Source organism: Homo sapiens, chromosome 13, assembly GCF_000001405.40.
Source record: "Homo sapiens chromosome 13, GRCh38.p14 Primary Assembly".
Lineage (NCBI taxonomy): Eukaryota > Metazoa > Chordata > Mammalia > Primates > Hominidae > Homo > Homo sapiens.
In genome coordinates, this window is record NC_000013.11 from 71,463,938 (window position 1) to 71,487,437 (window position 23,500).

Here is a 23,500-nt window from a genome sequence, read left to right on the forward strand (position 1 = left end):
TCTTAGTTTGTGAGAGGAGAAACTCCTGCTGCAATTCTTTAGCAGATAGATTTAGAATAAAGTTAGAACTGTGTAGTTTCTGCCAGGAAACACTGTCAGTCAATCTAACAGTTGTTAATAATAACAAATAGATTTTTACAGACTAATTTCTTTTAACCAGCTAAAATATTTTCAACCAATGAACCATTTCCCAAACAATTAAACATTCTGATTTTTCTCATATGGATGAGAAAAATACCCATACCCTCTAATTGCCCAGTATTTCAGCCATAAAAATAACATTGTCATTAAAAAAAATGAGCTGGTCTTTATAAATCTTATTTTTAAAACTAAATCGCTGTATGTATTTGCCATATGATTTGCCATCTTTGAGAAAGTGAAATTGAACTTTCTTTATTTTAAAGTGTTGCTGTTGTTAAAATGATACTGAATGCAAAATAATATGTTTGTTTTTCAGCTGTTGTAAGACTAAAGAGATTTTTTGAATACTTCAATTATAAAAACATTTAAAACATACAAACTTGTGCAATTTTTATTTTAATGAAGATGAGAAGTTCATTAAAGAAGATAAATATTTCATTAGCTCTTAAATAAAACAAAGAGATTTTTTGGCTTCTCTCAGCACAAAATTCCTTTGAAAGATTAATTAATACATGCAAATTATGCAAATTAGACCCATGCAAATATTTTATGAAGACAATTAAGGGAACCATTAATTACTGCTTTTTTTGCTTCAGTGAGATTCATTCATTTAATTTTAATTTCACTTTAACTGTTTTGATGTATAATCTTGCAGCTAAGAACTTTATCTTTCTTGGCGGGTCACTTAAACTTAGAAATTTCATCAAGTGAGCACACAGAAATCTGTAAAGATATTCTCAAGACTATGTTTAGTATCAAGAGAAATTTCTGACACAATGCACTCCCAGAAACAGGGAAACTGGAAGGGAATGTGAGCTCATTCTTGGACAAGGTTCAACTACTGGAAAAGCAATTAATTTGCTTTGGCTGTGCTAATATAGGGGAATTAGAAAGTGTGACACAAGACAAATAGAAATAATTAGTTCTCCAAAATGATGTTCTCATTAATATGGTTTGAACAGTAGAAATAAAACAACATTATTGTGGCATGTCTGCATTCTGTCCCTAACCATGGGAGGTAGGATAATGCACTATAAGCATTTTTATATTTATAGTTTAAATGATTATGTTTTTTTCTAAAGAAGAATTTATATCAAAGAGTTTATATGCTTAGAATGTCTAAATATATACATGCTATCAAATTAATAACACACTTTCCATAACCATGCATTTGTATACCAATTTTTTATTTTGCTCATACAAATCTGTATTGTAATGAACAGATTTAAAATGGGGGTTCTTTTTCTGTTACTTAAATATTTTCAGATCACTTTTATGACTCTTGAAGTATAACATTTCTCAGAAAAAAAATTAATTGTATTTATGCTCTATCTTAAAGAAGCCACTGTGTTTCTTAAAGTTTCTCTAAGATGGCTAGGATATCCTTACCATGGGGGATGAATACAAAAAGAGGAAGCAGGCTTTGTGAATATGAACTATTAGAGTTAGTTGTTATCTATATTACTAAATGATAACCTTCTTCAGCTTTTGTAGTCATTATATACATTTTTTGTTGTGATGATGTTTGATGAACAAGTTAATTGGATAACTTGCTCCAACTGAACCATCATTTTTTTCACTTGATAATAAAGGTTAAAAAAACTCAAAGCAAAACCTTATAAATATATTTTTCATAAATCTGAAGATAATACTATACTGTATAAAAATGCTTAAAAATTAACGTATTGACTATAATGAAAAAGCAACTTCCTAGTTATTTGGAATTCATAGTAGTAAAAAGTATCATCGGTACAAATACATATATGAAATTTAAATGCAGCTGATTTTTCTACCTCTTGTCTGATACTCCCCTCAGCCCCGCAGCTAATTGTTGTTACTATAGTACCATAAAAAGATGTAAGTGGGCATATACTATCATTGATATTTGTTGAGCTTCTTAATATTCTTTAAAAACAGATGTTAAAATTAAATTTTCTTTCTTACAAAGGTAATCTTATTTCATTCTTCCTTAAATTTCTAAATTCCCCAAGTTTATTTTGCATGTTTATACTGACCGCAGAGATGTGTCACAACTTTTAAATTAGGATCACTTGTGAATTTCACCGGTGCACTGTTTAACCACTCTTCCATGCTACTAATTATGATGTTAAATCAAAATGGATCTAGCATTGATCTTTAGGGTCCCCTGCTAATATCTTTCCCAGTTTCCATATATCACTATTTTTGACTATTGGTCTTCCAGATACTATTTAAGCCCAACCACAAACATGTTTATGAGCAAGCCAACTTAATTTATTTTTTTCAACTTTATTTATGCTAACAAGACATTTATATTTTCTGTTAATAACTCTCTGTTTCAATATTTAATGGCAATTTAGTTGCACGATGTCTACTTCCCCTCTCTAAACTTCCACTTTCAATCCATCATTCTTGATATTCCCAGATTAAAGTAATTTATCTCCCGAACTCTCATAGTGCCAACCCCCTATTACATTATTTTTACTAGAAAAACATGATGCCAGGCAGGGTGCGGCGGCTCACGCCTGTAATCATATCACTTTGGGAGGCCGAGGCAAGTGGATCGCTTGAGCTCAGGAGTTCGAGATCAGCCTGAGCAACATGGCAAAACCCTGTGTCTACAAAAAATATGAAAATTAGCTGGGCATTCTCACACACAACGTCTGTGGTCCCAAATACTCAGGATGCTGAGGTGGGAGGATTGCTGGAGACTGGAAAGTTGAGGATGCAGTGAGCTGTGATTGCACCACTGCACTCCAGCCTGGGTGACAGAGCAGCACCCTGTCTCAAAAAAAAAAAAAAAAAAAGACAACAGATATATTACAAACTAAGCTCAATCATTATGCCTAAATTTTCTCTGTCTAATTGAAATAACATCACAAAACTTCATGAAATGTCCCAACACAGACATATAATAACAATGGTTTCTTTTTCGTAAGGACCAGTTTAGAAAACTAGCTCTACGAAAATAATGTATTTAAATATTTTTACATAGTAAATAATTATAATGAGTTACATTCTATTACTATTTTGAGCAGCTTCATACTTAAACAATGCCTACTATGTCTATATCACGTATAGTTTAATTTATGTAAGAAGTAATTTCCCACAAAAACCCACAAGAGGCCTTCAGCATTTGGAGTTCAAGCATATCCAGTTACATTAAAAAACAGTATTACTTTTTAAAATATATTTTTAAAAGAATAAAATATATTCTCACTCATAGGTGAGAATTGAACAATGAGAACACATGGACACAGGAAGGGGAACATCACACTCTGGGGACTGTTGTGGGGTGGGGGGAGGGGGGAGGGATAGCATTAGCAGATATACCTAATGCTAAATGACGAGTTAATGGGTGCAGCACACCAGCATGGCCATGTATACATATGTAACTAACCTGCACATTGTGCACATGTACCCTAAAATTTAAAGTATAATAATAATAAAATAAAATAAATAAAAAAGAATAAAATATTTATGCTGAAATAAAAAAAATTCTAAAATTTTATAAAATGTTAACATTTATGGGTATCGCTAAAACTTTCTGTTTAATATTAATAACTGATTGTCTAGTTAAATGAGTAGTTAACAATGACCTATAATAACTATAGAACAATAGTCCGTTTATTGCTTACTGCCTACAATCAATATCACCTTTTGTTCAATTTAATCAGTGACATCTTAAATTGATTAGCTTTATAGAAATGCTGCCAAACACCAGAAACCAGTGCCAAGGGACTAGAGGGAAATTTATTGTTTTGTTTTGTTCATAGTAACATAATTCTAATATTTATATTTTAAGATCGAGAAAAATGGTTTAAGGTAATACCCATGGTGATTACTTATTTCTAAATGACTAATCAATAGTCAATATGCAGTGCAGGCAGCCCCGAAAACAGTTTTAGTCCTGATTTGTTTGTTTGTTGTGTTTCTAAGAAACCTCTCCTTCTCCCCCACATCCCCCTTTTCAATCTAAATAAAGACACTTTTAAATATGGAAAACGTGGTTAGGTAACATTAAAAAGTTCTTGGACATTTCCACAAACACTTTACTATGGGAATAATTCAACATTGTATTATAAACACAAGTCGATTTCCCAAAAAGGGAAAAGTAAATTACATATTAAAAGTAATAACAGCTTCAGTGTTTACCAATTGCCAAGACCTGTAGTAAATATATTGTAATAATAAAATTTAATACTAACATCTAAAACTTAACTGTATACAAACTATTGCCCAGCATGTGCTAAGTGCTTTACATGGATTATTTTATTTAATCTTCACAATGACCTTTTGAGGTTAAGCTATTGCTAAAGGGGTGGGGGAAACAATGGGGCAGAGATTTCAGTCTAGATGTGATTTCTAGCATTTCTTAACTATTAGCTTCCATAGAAGTGCCTAAGGAACCCCCATTCCCACACCGATCTTAAAAGTCATATTAGAAATTGAAATGTGCATTAACAATTATATGACAATCAAACTTGAACAATACTTTCATAAAGATCTTAAAAGTGGTAAGTATAAGTAGGATACAATTTAGTGCTGTTAAAGTATGAAAGTCTTGGGATACCATTTAGCAACTTCTATTCAAATGCATACGTCAAAAGAAACAAAGGGGCTCACCAAATGTCATATATTAAATCAAAATTGGATCTGTCGCTGACATTGTAAATTTATCATAAATTCATTACATGTTAAGTTGTAGATTTTTTTCTCTAAATATGATTACTGTCTTAATTTTTTCACTGTCACTTTATTTTCTTTGCTTAGAGTGGGGTTTCCCCCAGTGTGTCTAGAAGTGTCTATAAACATAATATAGGCACAATGGCTGATGAAAAAGTAAAAAGCAGGAAAGGAAACATTTTTTCAATTGTATATCATTCGTTGGCAGTACACTGTTTTGGACTTTTTGGTCATTAAGAGGCAACAAGCTAACTATCTAAAATGAGTGATGTGGTTGGGAGTGGTTATCTTATAAAAGGGACATGTAAGCCTGGGTAAAAAGTTTTGGTGGAAGCAACAAGGACTTTGAAGTCATAAATCTCGATTCAATGCCAGAAACCCAGAAACCCCATTAACTAGTAGTGTGACTGTGAGAAAGTTAATCAGTCATTCTGATCTTAGGTGATCTTGCCTTTAAATTAGAATACACAGGAAAGGCTCAATACATTTCAGTTCCCAATCCACCTAACTATTTTAATGAGTAAATACTTCCACTTACTATTAATATACCTGTCTAAATGAAAGAAAATGTATTACTAGGAAATTCATTGAGTGACAGCATATTTGATTTAAGAAAAAAAAAAGCTTGCTCAAAGATGTAAATTCCCATCATAAGAATGACATGAAATATGATTCTTTGGAGCTGTAAGTTAACAAAACAAATAACAACAACAATAATAATATATTGTAAAAGAGTAAGAAGGGAATAATTTAACAATCCTAATCTAAAAGCAACCAGGAAGAACAAGATGTGGAAAGCAACTGGACTTACAGTCCTAGCTCCAATAAACTCTTAGTGTGACTTTTAACAAGTCATCCAACCTCACTAAGCCCCCTCTTTTGCACAATAAGGAGATTTATTTTATCTTAAAGTCCTTTCCCAATGTTAAAGCAGTTACATAAAAGTGTGCTTGGCATATCATCAACGTTGAATAAATATTTGTTGAAAAACTGAATAATTTTAAAATTCAGCATGTATCTTCAAATGTTTAGCAAACAGAAAGAAGATATTTTTACATTAGAAAAAAGATTTTTAATGTGAAGGCAAGTCTTTTATGTCTTTTTATTGGAAGAATATTTGGTTTTCTATGATCTAAGATCAGTCAAAAAAGAAGAAAAAGCCAAACAGTTTTGATTATGGTCATTGGATGTAAATAAAAGAGTTGTACTTTCAAGTGAAGTCAAGATTTTGCAAGCACAACTTGCAGATAGTCTAAGATGTCAGAGGAACTGTGGTCTATATCGCCATTGGTTTTAACAATTATTTTTCTTGGTTTTAAAAAACTTGTTTTTACTTAAAAAGTGAAAGCAAAAAACTACTAGTTTGAAAATGAACTTTTTGTTATTGTGGTAAGTGAAATATCAATTTAAAATGGAAAATTGGATCTAAGTATTTATAGAATCCAAATCTTACGTCAAATGTGAAAAGAAGAAAATAAAGTTAAAAATGCAAACGAAGAATAAACACATCCTGTTAATTCAGCTATTGCATATAAACATTAATTCTGGGTTTCCTTCTTTCTGTTTTTTCTTTTTTTTTTTTTGAGACAGAGTCTCGCACTGTTGCCCGGGCTGGAGTGCAGTGGTGCAACTTCGGCTCACTGCAACCTCTGCCTCAAAGGTTCAAGTGATTCTCCTGCCTCAGCCTGATTCTCCTGCCTCAGCCTCCCGAGTAGCTGGCATTACAGACACTTGCCACCATGCCCGGCCCATTTCTTACATTTTTAGTGGAGATGGGGTTTCACTATGTTGGCCAGGCTGGTCTCAAACTCCTGACCTTGGGATCCGCCCTACTCAGCCTCCCAAAGTGCTGGGATTACAGTTGTAAGCCACCGCACCCGGTCTAATTCTGGGTTTCTTAGGTCATCCATTTTTCCCTCTCATCAGTCTCTTCAACCAAAGTCTGAGAAATGTCAGAACATTAAGGATCTTCATATCCACAAGATCTAACATAGGTCCTAATTCCTCGATGGCTGATTCATTCCTTCAGGGAATAGCAGGCACCACTATGTGCCAGATACTCTCTCAGACAATAGGAACATGGCAGTGAACAAAACATGCATGGTTTATGCTCTGCCCCAGCTACCATAGAGATAAGAAGAAGGCATTGAACAAGGAACTGCATGTACAGATGTTCCTATGGAGAAATGGAAGGTGTAGTAAGAACCTCTAAGAGGCAGAACTAGTCCCAGGGGGCAGGGAGTTGCCACAGCGGGAGAGTGAGGGGTCTGGGAAGTGTTCCTTGAGGTAATATTTCCAAGCTGGGACTTAAGGGGTGGTTAAGTAAAGGCAAGGAAGAAGAAAAAATGTCTCCAATAGGTGGGGAAAGAAGTGAAACAACAACAAAAACTTCCAGTATGATGGGAGCACAGAGATTGGAGGGAAAGAGTCGTGACTGGGCATAGAGGATGAGGGAGTGAGGGAGGGAAATGTCACGCTCCACTCTGCCCTCATTACATATTAACGACAATATTGGACTAGATGGATTAGGGTGCCATAGGGAAGGAACACTGGAGAAAGGCAGGCTTGGGGAGAGGGGAGAGGATACATACCGTTTTGTGCACTGAACTTTTGGGTCTCTGTGAGTCGACCAAATAAAAAGTTGGATATTATTATCTGGAGCTCTTAAGAGATGTCTGAGTGGATTGGAAAAATGTCTATAAATTTTCTAAATATGTAAGTTAAAGAAACTACGGGGCCAGGAGCGGTGGCTCACGCTTGTAATCCCAGCACTTTGGGAGGCCAAGCTGGGCGGATCACAAGGTCAGGAGTTCGAGACCAGCCTGGTCAACATAGTGAAACACCGTCTCTACTAAAAACACCACCGGGCCTGGTGGTGCACGCCCGTAGTCCCAGCTACTCAGGAGGCTGAGGCAGGAGAATCGCTTGAACCCAGGAGGTGGAGGTTATGGTGAACCGAGATGGTGCCACTGCACTCCAGCCTGGGCAACAGAGTGAGACTCTGTCTCAAAAAAAAAAGAAAAGAAAAAGAAAAAAGAAGGAAACTATGAAAGTAGATGCTGTTGCCTAAGGAGAAGGAATAAAATAAGATGACGACTTAGCTGAAGAAAGCCATCATGTTATAGATTTGGCTACATAAAATGTACGCGTATGTGCATATATATGTGTAGGGGCCAGAGGGGTTTTGAGGGATATTTACTGACTGGCCCAAAACACTGCTCGATGATTGTTTTTATGAACTCTGTCTACTTTATAGATTCAAAAGATCTTAGAGAAATTCTTGAGTAGGGTAAATTTTTCAAAGTCCAACACAAATCATGCCATATAAATCTGTGTGACATAAGGCATAAGAGAGTTAATGGCCATATATTTCAGTTCCTGGAAGAAGTTTTTTTAAAATTTTTGAATGTCTGTTCTGTACTTATAGCATTTTTACAATTCATGAATTCCTAGTTATTTGAAAATCAGCAATAAAGAATCTACCCTGCGTACTATGAGCTGATTTACTTCATTAAGAAAATGCAAGTAAATTATTTAGGGCTTCTTTCTTCAGAAATACTTTCTAAACTACTTTCTTGATTCCTCTTGTCCACCTCTGTGGTTTTATAGAAATGGTGATACAAAATGCCAATGAGGCAATATTTAGTCTACCCAGAGGTGCATATTTAGGGGTAATTACTTAGCACTCAAGCAGTAAGTATTTAAGTGCCCAACTTCTAGGTGACTAACTCTTGGGCCAAGTGTGGCATTTATTTATTGCCAGAAATGTTAAAAATACATGAAAAAATTAAAAAACCTGTGGGCTTATTTTGTCTTTCCCAATAAATTGAGTTTACTTTGGAATAGAAAATAATTTCAGTTATGGTTGGATTTGGAGCAAGAAATAATACAAAGAATGTCATAACACCTGGGCTTGGGGACAGTTGGAGAGAGAAAGTGATGAGTGTGAGAGGCTGTGTGTGTGTCATTCTTGAATTGTGAAGCAGCAGGTGCTCATGGCTCCCAAAAGGCATGACATAGACCGTTTCACAAATTAGTAATGAGTTCTGGTTCTTTCTTTTTTGCCTTTCCCTTTCTTGTCCTTAGACAACATTTAACTAAATACAGTATTCTTTCTTTGATTGCTTTTGTTCACAGTTAATTGTATTCTGTTTGTTAGCTTCCAAATGTATGAATTTTGTCTGAGGTTAGAAAAAAATTTCAAAGGGCTAATAAAGCTTATTGAATAGGGTGTTAGAATAGCAAATATGATCTCTTTGCTCTGTTATGTTAAGAGTCTTGAAATAGTTTGACTGCTGGTAAAATATCTTTTAGCAACTAACAGCTAGAAACAGATTCATTGACAGTGTTTTTTCTTATTACAATTTGGGAAAAGTCATATTATCTGATAAATATAATGAATAGTTAGTATGTTTTATTAAAAAACAACTGTACATTTTGACCAGTACAACAATGGACAGGCTGAATGAATGAATAAAGTGAGTGAGGATTTTCTATTACAATTAAAGGCAAAAATAATTCCATAAAATGTGTATATGGTTTTAAATTACTATGTATAATTGTTGTACAAATGTTTTGTTTCCCTAACCATTAAGTTGTTGGTGCATAGGTTTACTGTATTCCTCCACTGGTAAGATTCTGGATACTAAAAGGAAAGCAATTTGTGATTAAAACTTTTCTTCAGAATAAGTCAGTCACAACAATGGAAACTGAAAGTTGTCAACATTTCAGCCTCATACAGCAAGACTTTACCTATATTAAAATGTATGTTTGAACATATGTAAATTTGACAAATTCAAACAAAAATAACCATAGCCTTATTAACAACCAACATGTTGTTATGGGTGGCATACATATTATATCATCAACCATACAAAAATGTTTAATCACTTCTTAATATTAACAACGAATCTCTCATTTATATGCAGGACGATATTGTTTCAATTTTTTCTAGATTGACTTCTGACCACCTTGAGGATTCTGTGTATATCAGATGATTTATATGTCACACTTATCTATGGGCTCATGTGCTTTCTGAGACCACTTTGACATTATCTAATGCGTGAATAGCCCCTGCATGTACACATTGGTGCTGATATTTGCATTTGTCTTGTTGGTGCTATTGTCCCTGATAAAGAGGACTGGTTTTTTCATTAACAGTAATTTTGAACATGTGTATGTAAGTTTTATAAGATGCAAGAGGATTCTTTTAATTGTCATAACCATATACATACAAACACATACACAATATAATTGTGCTGAAATCCATAGTACTCTAAAAATTCAGATCTTTTTCTATATCTACAATAGCATTAATCTTGTATATCCAAGATGTCTCATAATAACATATGATTCAAACCTTAGGATTTACAAATTAATTAGAATGGCCTCAGGTAAAATAAATATAGGCAAAAAAAAATCCATTCTTTCCTCAAAAATGTTTCTTCAAGTTTGTGATTGTTACTTCTTGCACATATGATAGTTTACAAAAGTATATTTCCTTTACACTAAGCCAAGAATGACATATTTGGAGCTGATTAAGTAACACAATTAACGTCATATGATATCCTAAAAATGATTGAGTTTAAAATGCAGAATAAAAGCAATTGGGAGGATTATGGCAGTTAATCATTTTAGGCATCCCTTTGAAGAATCACCTTCATTTTAAATAGAAAACAAATGCTCTTGTTACTGTTTAGTATTCATGTTGTTAGGTTGAATTTGTCGTCTGGAATAGATGTTTGCCTATAAATGCTACCTTCTGGTTTTATTCTTTTCTAATAGTACGATCATGACAATATACATATTTAGCTCTTCTGAGCATTTAATACAACTCCCTTTGGTATGCTATATATGATTTTACTCAGCAGATTTGTGTTATTAAAGTGTATATAATGGCATACAGAACATTTGGAATCCACATAGGAACTAAACAGTCTTATTTATTGTTAACATTCAACTAGTCTATTTTGCAGGTACCTTGCAGTAACTGTCATAAAAATGAGTAGTTAGACATTTTTAAATTGTAAGAACTACCTATTTGATTAACCACATATTTTATTTATGTAGCACAGAACTTATAAACCCTTCCTGCATTAGACTGGGCTTCACACATTCAATAAAGCACATTTACTGTGTCCAAGATTAAATCATACATTGTTTAAAATTAATTATTCCTTTTAATTGCATTGTATAAACAGAGATGACCTGTTAATTTAAAGAAAATCTATCAGCACAAAATGAATTCACTCATATAAACAAGCAAGATGAACTTGACCTTGTTTGAACTTGTTTTGATGTGGCCCAGATGGTAGGCTACATGCTTGAATAGCAGGCTAAAGCTGAGGAAAAACTCATATAGCAAGATCTAGATTTATAGCCTTCTGCAAATTCCTACCTTGTATTGTCCTTTCAGCATCTGTTCTGCCGCCACTGCGGTCAGCCTCTATCTCTGGGGTCAGAGAGTCTAAAAGCACAGAAAGGTAAGAGTGACACATATTTCATTTGATTCCTATTGTCCTTTAAAAAAAAAGAGCAACCTGTTACTTTGGTGCTGAATTAAAATTACGTAAATCTTTGTCATCTTTTAAAGGTTGAACAAAAACTGTAACCGTAAGAATTTTCGGAAGATTTGAACAGTAAGCAATGCAACATTGTTCATAAAAGAGGATGGGGTTCGGAAATTCTCAAATTACTATTTTATTGTGCTTCAGTAGAAAAAAATCTGGTTAAGCAGAGAAGTAATGCCAAGTCCCAGATGCTGGAGTTCAGTAAAAAACAGTGGAAGCACCTATAAAATAAGGCATTTTCCCCAACACGTTCTTCCCACCCTGCTTTCAGCTTCAAGTATAGCTGAATGAATCACAAGATATAGAAACATACAAAACTACAAACACATGCCTAAACTGTCCTTTAAGCATTAAAAATGACAGTTATTCATGCAATAATATACACCCTCTTACCATTTAAGACCCTGAGACTATCTGTTGAAGCTGCCTGTTTTAGCGTCTGTTCTGCTTGTTCACGCCGTTTCGTCTCAAACTCAAGTGCTTCCTGCAATTTTCTCTTTGCCTTCTTCTCCTTCTTTAGCCTCTTTTGAACTATGGCTAAAAAAGAGTGTATGCATATTATTATTATTATTTTTAAATTTTCATAATGCTGCTAATTTCCAAATGGTCTATATTTTTTATATTATTCATTTTGTTTTCCTGCTGAACTGAGTCTACCTATAAAAAGAAAGTTCCAAAAATCTCCACCTTTATCTAAAATAATTCCCAGTAAAATAATAAGAAAGCCAATTTTTATTTTAGCCTAGAACTATTACATTACAAGAATGGCTTTAATTGCCATATGTAAAGATAAATTTAATAGGAAACTAATTTTAGTAAATGTTTGTATTCACTGATAAAGGAAGCTTGATTAAATGAATTTTGTGGCTTAGTTCTCTGTCCTTGAATCACAATAGTGCAGAGTCATTTGGATAGTGCAAACGCTTATAAGCATGCCTCCTTCCTATTTCCTCATAGGGCATCAATTTTGACCAGCAAATGGAGCATCTCCCCTAAAAACGCTTTGGAAAGCAATGTTAGACCAACTCAGTTTTTAATAATTTCTTTCTTAAAATTTTAGGAAATGTAATAAATATTTTTTGTACACTAGAAAAAATACTTTTAATTATTGTTAATGTATAGAACAGAAATGTTTTTGTTTGGATGAAGTTACGATGATTTCCTGAGAATATTTTTCTCACAGCAAATTTACAGTACTATGATATATTTTAAGAAAATTATTCTACTTTCACTCTGCAGAAATCTGAGGCAGTATGAACCCCCATTGCTAATAATAATATGCTGCTGGTAACAATAATGAGCCTTTTATATTTAAAAAAATAGATAATACAAAAAGTTGATTATGAAACATTTTTCTCCAACTGGACAATTTAAATATTTGTATATGATACATACTCGATAAATAATAACTACTGTTCTTTACAAAATGTATATCAACTATGTTTTCTGGAGGATAATTGTTTTAACTTTTACTACATATATATGTATACATATGGTAACTACTCAGCATATGGGAATATGCATTTTTCTTTAAAATTATCTTTGTTGATGGTTGATAAACATTGTAGATATCAACGTGACAGACTCAGTATGAGAAAATGCTTCTCTTAGTCATGAAGACTAATCATTCCATATTTACTGTTTGATTTCTTACTACAGATTAAAGAACAGCAACATTTTTAAAGCAGAATAATCAAATTATAAAATAATAACGACTCAAGTATTTTAGTTTTAATTTCTAATTTCCACATAATCCTGTTTTTATTATTATATATATATATATATATATATATTTTTTTTTTTTTTTTTTTTTTTTTTTTTGAGACGGAGTCTCGCTCTGTTGCCCAGCCCAGGCTGGAGTGCAGTGGCGCGATCTTGGCTCACTGAAAGCTCTGCCTCCCAGGTTCACGCCATTCTCCTGCCTCAGCCTCCCAAGTAGCTGGGACTACAGGCACCTGCCACCACGCCCGGCTAATTTTTTGTATTTTTTAGTAGAGGCGCGGTTTCACCTTGTTAGCCAGGATGGTCTGGATCTCCTGACCTCATGATCCACCCGTCTCGCCCTCCCAAAGTGCTGGGATTACAGGTGTGAGCCACCGTGCCCGGCCTATTATTAATATTTTTAAGATGGAAGCTAATTTACATGTCAGGTGTATTGTTGCTGTATCATATATTTTTAAAAACCTGTTTGTATCAAAATGTACACTGGCTATGGTGTTATACGAAAAGAAATTGAAACTGATTTTAAACGTTAATTTCCCTTATTTAATGGTGTGCAAATCATGTGCTTACCTTAACAAAATTACCTGCCTACTGTTTCCCTTTCCAAAAATGATTATTTATGAGTCTCTTTGTAAAGAAACAGTAATTTCTGAAATATTTATTTGGATTGTACACTCTTGTGGCTCTAAAGGCTTAATACCCTGCACTTTGCCATTGACCGCTCACAGTTTCCTCCTACATGATTGAACCAAATGGGATCGTCATGTTCTCTCTCTTCAGGGTGATACACTGCTTCAATAGGCACATTCATAATAGATAAGTATTGATAGTTATTGCCTTGAATTTACTGTTCGTAATTAATTAAATGGGAACTTTACGGTGTGATCTGTGAATGTTTTGCCCTCTAGTGGTTAACGAAAGAAAACAGAATGTAAATCCTCCCAAAAGGTTTGAACCAATAAAATTCTGAAGGTCTCTCCAGTAACCAAAGGGTTACTTTAGGAATCCCCGGGCCTGCTTTTAAGTTCTGTAAAAAAGGACTAAACAAAATTAAGTGAGAACAAAATAAAAACATGGCTGTCTCATGGAAGCTGGTTCCATAGATTGAGTTCTTTGACCCAACTTATTTATTCACTTGGAATACAGCCATTATCAATGTTTACCTTGTTTTGATTATTTAAATACCTGAATCTATGTGAAGCCACATTATTTAGAACTGTGCTATACATCTGAGATGACAGTGTCCCAAAATGACCAACTTCCAGGAATACACTAACTGTTGCTTCGTAATAGCTAATAAAACAACCTGGTAAATCCTGCTAGTTTAAAGACAAAATAGAAACAACTATTTTTAAATGACCATTTCAAACATATAAAGGAAAATAATGTGGAGCATTTATATTGGATATATATTAAATGCATAGTTGAAGCAAAGAGGCAGTTGATTGTAGACAAAATAATCTTCAAATTCATACATAAAATAAACATGCAAATATAAATGACCTTCAAAATTATCTATAGATGCACCATACAGTGTGACAAAAGAAGCAGTTCACAGATCAATAATATTATTTTATCCAATAAGAATTTATATCAGTTTCTACTCTGTGTACTTGACCTTGTTGGATGAAAATGAGGCCTTCAGAAAGAAAATTATACAAACATTTAACTTTGGTCATTTGTTCAGATATTCATCCATTTTCAATTTCAGTTGATAAATATCTTAGTAAACCTGCTTCACTTGAATAATCAGTATTTTCTATTTTAGCTTTATGAGTTTAACTCAAGTTTTTCAAAGGGCAATTGTGAATTAACATAAAATTTTTCTTCATGGCTATCATTAGAGTTTATTCTTATCTTAAAGAACATGAATTTTTAAACTCAACAATCAATAAAAGTTATATAATTAATGATGTAATGGATGTATTTCAATTTCCTGAGGTAGGAACAGAAAAGAAAACATGTACTTTGGAGATTAAGAAATACAATGAGCCTAGGATTCAAATTCTGCTCTGAACTTTAGCTACCGTTAAATTAACAAAAATACTACAATTTCAAAATAAATCACCATCATAGTATTAATATGTTTAATATTTTCTGTAAATATTTAACTTATCTGGAAATTTGGAAATACCTCTATTCTTTTGTTCCATAGCCAACTGCTTCTCAAGTGTTTCCCTTAGTTCTCTTTCCCTTAAAAAATCCATCTTCAGCTCAGTTTTTTCCAGTTGGACCTGTTTCTCTTGAGCTCTGGCATTATCTATGGCAACTTTCAACAGCCCCTGTACAAAGAAGATATTCGGAATGGTAATATTTTAATACAAAGCAAATTTCGTTCATTACTTAAAAGCATTTTCAAAGCAAAGAACCCAGTGATCAAATGACCTAATTCTTTCGCATTCACTCTGCACTCACTAGAACAAATACTATAACTAAAGCATAAAACTCCTAAGTCTAATTAAACTATTTTCGGAAGACAAATATTTATGGCATGCAGGTTTAATTGCTTCTAATTAGAATATCTAGATCCAAAGCTAAGTAGATATTCTAATTAGAATATCTAGATCCAAAGCTAAATAAGGGCAGCACATAAGCATGTCTAAAAAATAAGAACTGAGAAGGAAATTAGGCTGAAACTCCTCCACAAGTAATTATCTGACATGGTTTATGCAACCTTCCAGGATTCTGGCAGTGCTCACCTTTCTCCTCAGAGCTCATTCTCCCACTCCCTACCATGAGCACATAGCCACAATGGTCTCCTTTTGGTTCCTCAATGCAACAATTTGTTTCTGCCCCCACGGACTTTGCTCTTTCTGTTCCCTTCCTGAATGCTTTTCCTCCAGATCTTTGCATGGCTCACACCCTCATTTCATTTCATCTTTGCTCAAAGTCACCATTCAAGAGAGGCCATCTCTTACTACCCTATCTCCAAATGTATCTTATTACTCCCTCCCTAAAATTCTTCATAGAATGTATCATTATGTGGTATTGACATATATTTATTTGTTTACTGATTTATGTTATGTCTTCTTTATTAAAATGTAAGCTCTCTGGGGCAGAGACATGTTCTCTCATTCAGGACTATGCCCCCAGGGCCCAGAAAGTGCCTACTATATACTAGATTTTAAAATTTCACAAATAGCAATTATAGTACTGCTACATTTTTCTTGAGATACGTAATATATTTAAGCGATCTAAAACTTGGTTTAGTAGTGCATTACTTTTTAAAAAGCCATTCAAGATGGTTGTAATAAACTCAGGATAACTTCTAGGAAATGATTAGACAGCATAATAATTTAAAAGAACATATGGAGAAAGCAAAGTTTATTCATACAACTAATGGTGAATATATAAATATGTATATATTTTGACATACTGTATGCTTTTAAAAATTAGCAGTATTTTAAGGTTCTTGAAAATTAGATATGGAAATATGTTAAACATATAAAAAGCATTCTCTGTTTTCTCTCCTAAGATACTTTGAAACAGTTACTAGTAAAAATTAGAGCTAAAACTTCTCTTCAATTCAGCAATACAAAATGAGTTTTTGAAGTAGAAGATATTTTGCCTTGGTCTGTGAGTGTCAGAGACTGAAATTTTCAACTGAAGTTAAAATGAGATGAAAGTTGATGTCATTTGTAGATGTACTCTAGGATGTGACTCCCTTGCAAGAAGACATTGTGAGCAGTTCGAATCAGGAATTTCTACTCCAGCTTGACTTGTAAGCGCAATAGACAGATAGTTTTACTTCAGTCTACCAATATAGTTTATAGCATTGCTGTAAGCCAATTTTATTCTCTTTTGACCACATACAAATTATTCCATATTTGCTATACCTGACCCTGAATCTCCTGGTATAATTCTTGTGATATGAAACAAGCTGAAGAAAGATTTCTCCGTGGCAGGTTGCCCCTCCCCACTCTTTTGTTTAACAGTAAAACATAGCTGCTAAGGAAACTGCCATCTTAACTCAATTCAACAACATTCCTGTGTAGGCTTCTTCTTCGTCAGGAACAAACAATTAGTAACAAATGAAAGAGATCATTACATCAAGTGCCCTTTTAGATCACCCCAATTAAAACTTTAGCTGTATTTTAATTCTAAGATACCAAATTCTAATTTTCTGCTCTGATTGCTCTTGTTGACTTATCTTTGAAAGATGTACTCTGTGTGCAATGTCTAGAGATTATTTAGCAAGATGCCAATGTTGGCACCACTTAATGTGTTGATTGGTTGTATTATCAGTAGCTGTTTAAAATAAATTACTATTAAACTATTATTGTCCTTGGCTGACAAAACACAATATTTTGGTGTTATTTAAATGTGAAACAATCATTATGAATAAACATGTTGAATAATGTTAAACTGCAACTCTAATTTGTGTAATTTTATATTAATATTCGTTGTAAAGAATGAAGTTGCTGAGAGCATTTATGTTTACTGTTTCCTTTTGTTACAATTGCTGCTAATGTGACTAATGGTAATACATTACCTATTCCTGCTGATTATGTCTGAAAAATATTAGCTTTTAGGATCCAATACTCTCTGGGACTACTTATAAGCTATATAAAATTAAATGTAATTTTTAGACTTTGTATCAGTGCATATCAGTAGGAGTCCAGTGTGAACAAAAATCTGTACTAGAGCCAAACTGATGCATATGCAAAAGTATGTTACCGCCAGTGACAGCTCTGCTTCAAAAAATACAGAAAACGGATTAAATTTCAGTGCAGCAGGGGGCTGGGAAAAGCAATAGGATGTAGTGTTCAGAACATCTACAAATCTTTAGGACACCATTGTAGCCATCAATGATAATAATACTTTCAGATTTGTGTAACTTCTGTAAAATTTCCAGGTTGATCACGTGCAAACGGTCACGTTAAATGCTGCATCTCACTTGGACATGCAATATCCAGAAAATGCTGTGGCAAAAATGTGAATGACAAAAAACGATAGAAGGTTTAAAGCATGATTTTTTCTCCAAGGGGAGGATGGTTCTTAGGATACTGAAGTCGGTTAATGACAAGTCTAATGAAATACATTTTAAGTTTATGCCACAGCAATGGTGAGAGACAATAGTTGATTGACCCCAAATTTTTTTTCTGAGTGAGACATAATGGTTGTTATACTACATAAATGTCATTGTTTTCTAAAATAATCTAATTTGTAAATTATTTTCATCATTTTTTAGAGATTGAGTTTTTTTTTTAAAGGGTACTGTATCTAGCAATGTTTCTACAGTTGATACGGCTTAGAAAGTACAATATCTGTCTATATAAGAAGACTTCAAATAATACTGCTAAGAAACATTTCTTAATAACCTAGCTAGATCCTGGAGGAGAAGCTTACTTGATCCATGTTTGTATTTAACATAAATTTATTTCAGAATCAGACAATATCTAAGGTTTCTCGAGTGTCACTGAAACTCATGTGATAAAATTTGTTCTCAATAATGTGTTGCTTCTAATGAAATTAAAACACCTTAGTTGAAGAGGATTTTAGCAATCACCATCCTAACCAAATACTTTTAAAGATGAGAAAACCAAGATGCAGAAGAATCAAGAGACTGACTGAAAATCCCAAATACTGAGTTGAGTGTGCCTAGATCAGAACTGTCCAGCTACTTAGTCTTCTTTATTATTCTTTTAATGTTTCCCTGGTCTCTTTTCAGGGAGAAAAAGAATAATGTCCCTTGGAATCAGGAACTTTTGTAGACCAAAAAACAAACAAATAATCAATAGTACAGTATCAACTGACAGTTTTTTTTTTTTTTTTTTTTTTTGAGATGGAGTTTCGATCTTGTTGCCCAGGCTGGCGTGCAAATGGCGCGATCTCGGCTCACTGCAACCTCTGCTTCCCAGGTTCAAGCGATTCTCCTGCCTCAGCCTCCCAAGTAGCTGGGATTACAGGCATGTGCCACCATACCCGGCTTATTTTTTTGTATTTTTAGTAGAGACGGGGTTTTGTCATGTTGGCCAGGATGATTTCAAACCCCTTACCTCAGGCGATCCACCCACCTCAGCATCCCAAAGTGCTGGGATTACAGCGTGAGACATGGCGCCCGGCCCAACTGACACATTTTCAGAGAAGCTTTTGTAACAAAATATAATACCATACTCTTTAATGCTATGATTATTGTCCTGCAACGCCGATGTATGACAGGAACAAAGAAGAGAAGACTCATAATATATAATTACGATTGAAAATAAAAACATATAATGTAGGGCCAATATATTTGATATTAGCTTCCCCATATTTTGAATTCAACGTCTATTTTGTTGGGGTTTATGCAAAGTCTTCTCCTAATTAATATTATATATAATTATATATTATAATTAAATTATGTATCAATAATTAAATTATGATTAAATTTAATGTTACAGTTAAAATTATTATATTTATATAAAAATTAATATAATAAATAACAAATAATACCTTATAATAAATAATATATTAATATAATATAAATGAATACATAATAAAATTATAATTACAATAATTTTTATAATTATAATTTTATAATTAAATTATAATTAAAATTATATATTAATGTAAATAAGGAAACTATTATTTTATTTTAAAATATATTGAAAAGTAAAGTAAAATTATTGGCCATGATATTGAAATGTAAAGAACTGAAGATAGATAATCAGAGTACAGTCATTCACCTCCATAACAACTTTTTGGTCCGCAAGCATATATGATGGTGGTCCCATAAGATTATAATATCATATTTTTACTGTACCTTTTCTATGTTTAGACACACAAATACTTGCTATTGTGTTACAGTTGTCTACAGTATTCAATATAGTAATCTGCTATACAGGTACATAGCCTAGGAGCAATAGGGTATACTGTATAGACAGGTATATACTAGGCAATATCCTCTAGGTTTGTATAAGTGCATTCTATGATGTTTGCACAACTCTAAGACTGTCCAATGATTCATTTCTCAGAATGTATCCCCAGCATTAAGTGATGCATGACTATAGTTCAGTCTTATACTTAATTCTTTTTCATTTTCTTCCCACAAACACAGAAGTAGAGAATAATTCCTCCTAGATACCATGGTTGGATTATGTCCATTTACTAGGCTATAGTGAATCAATCTGGAGCTGCCATTTCTTGTGTGTGTATGTGTTTTTAAGATAGGGTCTCACTCAGTCACCCAGGGTGGAGTGCAGTGGTGCCATCATAGCTTACTGTAGCCTTGAACTCCTGGGATCAAACCATCCTCCTGCCTCATCCTCATGAATATTAATAGCTGGGACTGTGGGCATGCCCCATCATGCCCAGCTAATTTTTGTATTTTTGTAGAGGCAGGGTCTCCCTATGTTTCTCAGGCTGGTCTCAAACTCCTGGCCTCAAGTGGTCTTATTGCCTCAGCCTCCCAAAGTGCTGGGATTACAGGTATGAGTCACAGCACCCAGCCAAGCTGAAGCTATTGTGGTTTTAACATATGTTTTAGGTCTTTCTTGTTTGCTTAATTCTTCCATGTAGGTAGACTATAGTGAACCAAACTCCAATCATATATCCCCTCATGGCAAATATCTTCAATGCTAACCTCACTCCTAACTAAATTTTATATTCTCTACTTAAACTTTACATTTTCACTTTTTAGTTATTTAACTATTCTTATTTTAATGTTTGTAAGCCACTTTTTAAAGCCTTTTTGTAACAAGATAAACAAAGTAAATAATTTGTTCACAACCCTATGTGCCAAAAGGTTCTAGATTTTAAAAAGTGAGTAGGCCCGGGCGCGGTGGCTCACGCCTGTAACCCCAGCACTTTGGGAGGTGGGTAGATTAGTTAAGGTCAGGAGTTTGAGACAAGTCTGGCCAACATGGTGAAATGCATCTCTACTAAAATGCTTTTTAAAAATTGCCAGGTTTGGTGGTGGGAGGCTACTCCCAGCTACTCAGGAGGCTGAGGCAGGAGAATCACTTGAGAGGCGGAAGTTGCAGTGAGCCCAGATGGTGCCACTGCACTGCAGCCTGGGCGACAGAGGGAGACTCCGTCTTAAATTTAAAAAAAAAAAAAGAAAAAAGAGTAAGCAGAATTATCCTTTGATCATGTTCTAATGGTAGCTCATGTTTGACGGTGTCATATCCAGTTAACTGATACTAAAATTTTAGTCTCCTTACATAAAATCTCACAGGTTGTTCTCCATGGACAGGATTGAAAGAGGAAGCCATAATGAAAGATAGACCACAATGAAAAAAAAATGCCATATAGAAAAAATAAAAGCAATTCTAAAAATCAAAAACTGAACTGTATCCATATTCTTCACTAAATTAAATTAGTTTTTTACTCTAGATATCTGTATCCATTATCACTTTTAATTTCTAAAACACTCAAATGTCAGGAAGTAGTATAGCTCAAGCAGTAACAAAAATCTGGTGCCCAATTTTTTATATATATAAATTTTATAAATTTCTAAATATAAAATTTAAATATAATTTTTTATATATCAACATAGGATTTTTTTTACAGGTCTTTTTTTTTCTTTTTACTTCATTCATTATAACTTTTCTTTTCTTCTTTTTTTTTTTTTTTTTTTTTTTTTAGCTGGAGGGAGTCTTGTTCTGTCGCCAGGCTGGAGTGCAGTGGCGCAATCTTGGCTCTGCAACCTCTGCCTCCCGGGTTCAAGTGATTCTCCAGCCTCAGCCTCCTGAGTACCTGGGACTACAGGCATGTGCCACCACACCCAGCTAATTTTTACATTTTTAGTAGAGACAGGGTTTGACTATATTGGCCAGGATGGTCTCAATCTCTGGACCTTGAGATCCACCCACCTAGGCCTCCCAAAGTGCTGGGATTACAGTCATGAGCCACTGCACCTGGCTAACTTTTAATTTCTATAACACTTAAATGCAGGAATTCAGTATAGCTCAAATAGTTAACAAAAGTCTGGTGCCCAATTTTTATATATATGTACATTTTATAAATTTAAATTTTAAAATAAAAATTTAAACACAAAATTTTCACATATAATTATAGTATTTTTCTATAGATCTTCTTTTAAAACACAAAGAAATAACTGACAAAAATTTAATTTTGATGATGATGTCATGGAAAGGACATCTGTGGTAATCATTACAAATTTAAAAATCCAGGCTTTTTAAATTATAATATATAAATTATTGATCATTAGAACAATAACACTTTATGAAAACACGTTATTTTAAAGGGTTTTTTGGTCATTAATTTTAATAAAAAATAACATCTTTAAAAAATGGAACTTTAAACTTACTACACAAAAAGTATGTACCATTTTGGCATAGAAAGCACAGAACCCTATTATATATAATTGAAACTGCAGAGGAAATTGAGGTAGGCAGAATGTAATTACCCATATTAGAATTTGGACAGCAATCACATTTATACTGTATACCTAATAATCCGGGGTCATGACTGTTTAAACATTCCATACCATTCCTATGATAATACCATAACTCAGTAAATGTGACAATAGTAAAAGAGTTAGCATCTGCAAGCTTTTGTAAAATGATATGAAATCATTACTAACAATAAATATGTGTGTGTTTGTATATGTATGTGTGTGTATATATATATTTATAATATACATGTGCATGAAATTCTGTAGGATTTTTAATTTTTATTTCACCTTGTGGGCACATATGTACATGCATGTATAAATATATGCATATGCATATTAGACATACATATAAATATATGATAACTGCATCTATATATACACATACATATAAGTAAGATTGAAGCGGACAAGCTAAATTAATTAATTTATTTATTTATTTATCTATCTATCTATCTATCTATCTATCTATCTATCTATCTATCTATCTGAGATGGAGTTTCACTCTTGATGCCCAGGCTGGAGTGTGGTGGCACAGTCTCAGCTCACTGCAACCTCCACCTCCCAGGTTCCAGCAATTCTCCTGCCTCAACCTCTCGAGTAGCTGGGATTACAGGCACCTGCCACTATGCCTGGCTAATTTTTTGTATTTTTTTTTTAGTAGAGACGGGGCTTCATGATGCTGGCCAGGCTGGTCTCGAACTCCCGATCTCAGGTGATCCACCTGCCTTGGCCTCCCAAAGCGCTGGGATTACAGGCATGAGCCACGGCACCCGACCCTTAATTTATTTTTAATAAAGCATTCTTATTTTGGGTGTTCTAACTTTATCAGTCCCAGATCCCTATAATTTGGGAATAGAAATAAATTATTTAGCTTGTCTTGACCATTGTCCTTTTATCTACTCTTTTGAAAATATGTCTTGAAGGCATATGGTAGGAAAGGAGAGTATATTAAATCTAGAGCCACCTACAATGAGTAATTTGTCTAAAATGTGTACATTTTAAAGCTGGAGTGTTCTTTTTCTTCTTTTCTTTCTTTCTTTTATTTTTTCTTTTCTTCCTTCTG

General features: G+C 33.7%; 1 protein-coding gene across 5 annotated transcripts in view; it reads right to left on the reverse strand.

Annotated features, from left to right (window-relative positions):
• Nucleotides 1-23,500, reverse strand: part of DACH1 (dachshund family transcription factor 1) — a 429,239-nt gene that overhangs the window by 25,972 nt on the left and 379,767 nt on the right. For all 5 annotated transcript variants that reach the window (NM_004392.7, NM_080760.6, NM_080759.6 and 2 more), the window contains 3 exons: nt 15,232-15,379; nt 11,769-11,912; nt 11,204-11,272 (listed from right to left, as the gene is read on the reverse strand). In NM_004392.7, the coding sequence (NP_004383.4) occupies nt 11,204-11,272; nt 11,769-11,912; nt 15,232-15,379 (361 nt within the window). The remainder of the gene's footprint in view (nt 1-11,203; nt 11,273-11,768; nt 11,913-15,231; nt 15,380-23,500) is intronic.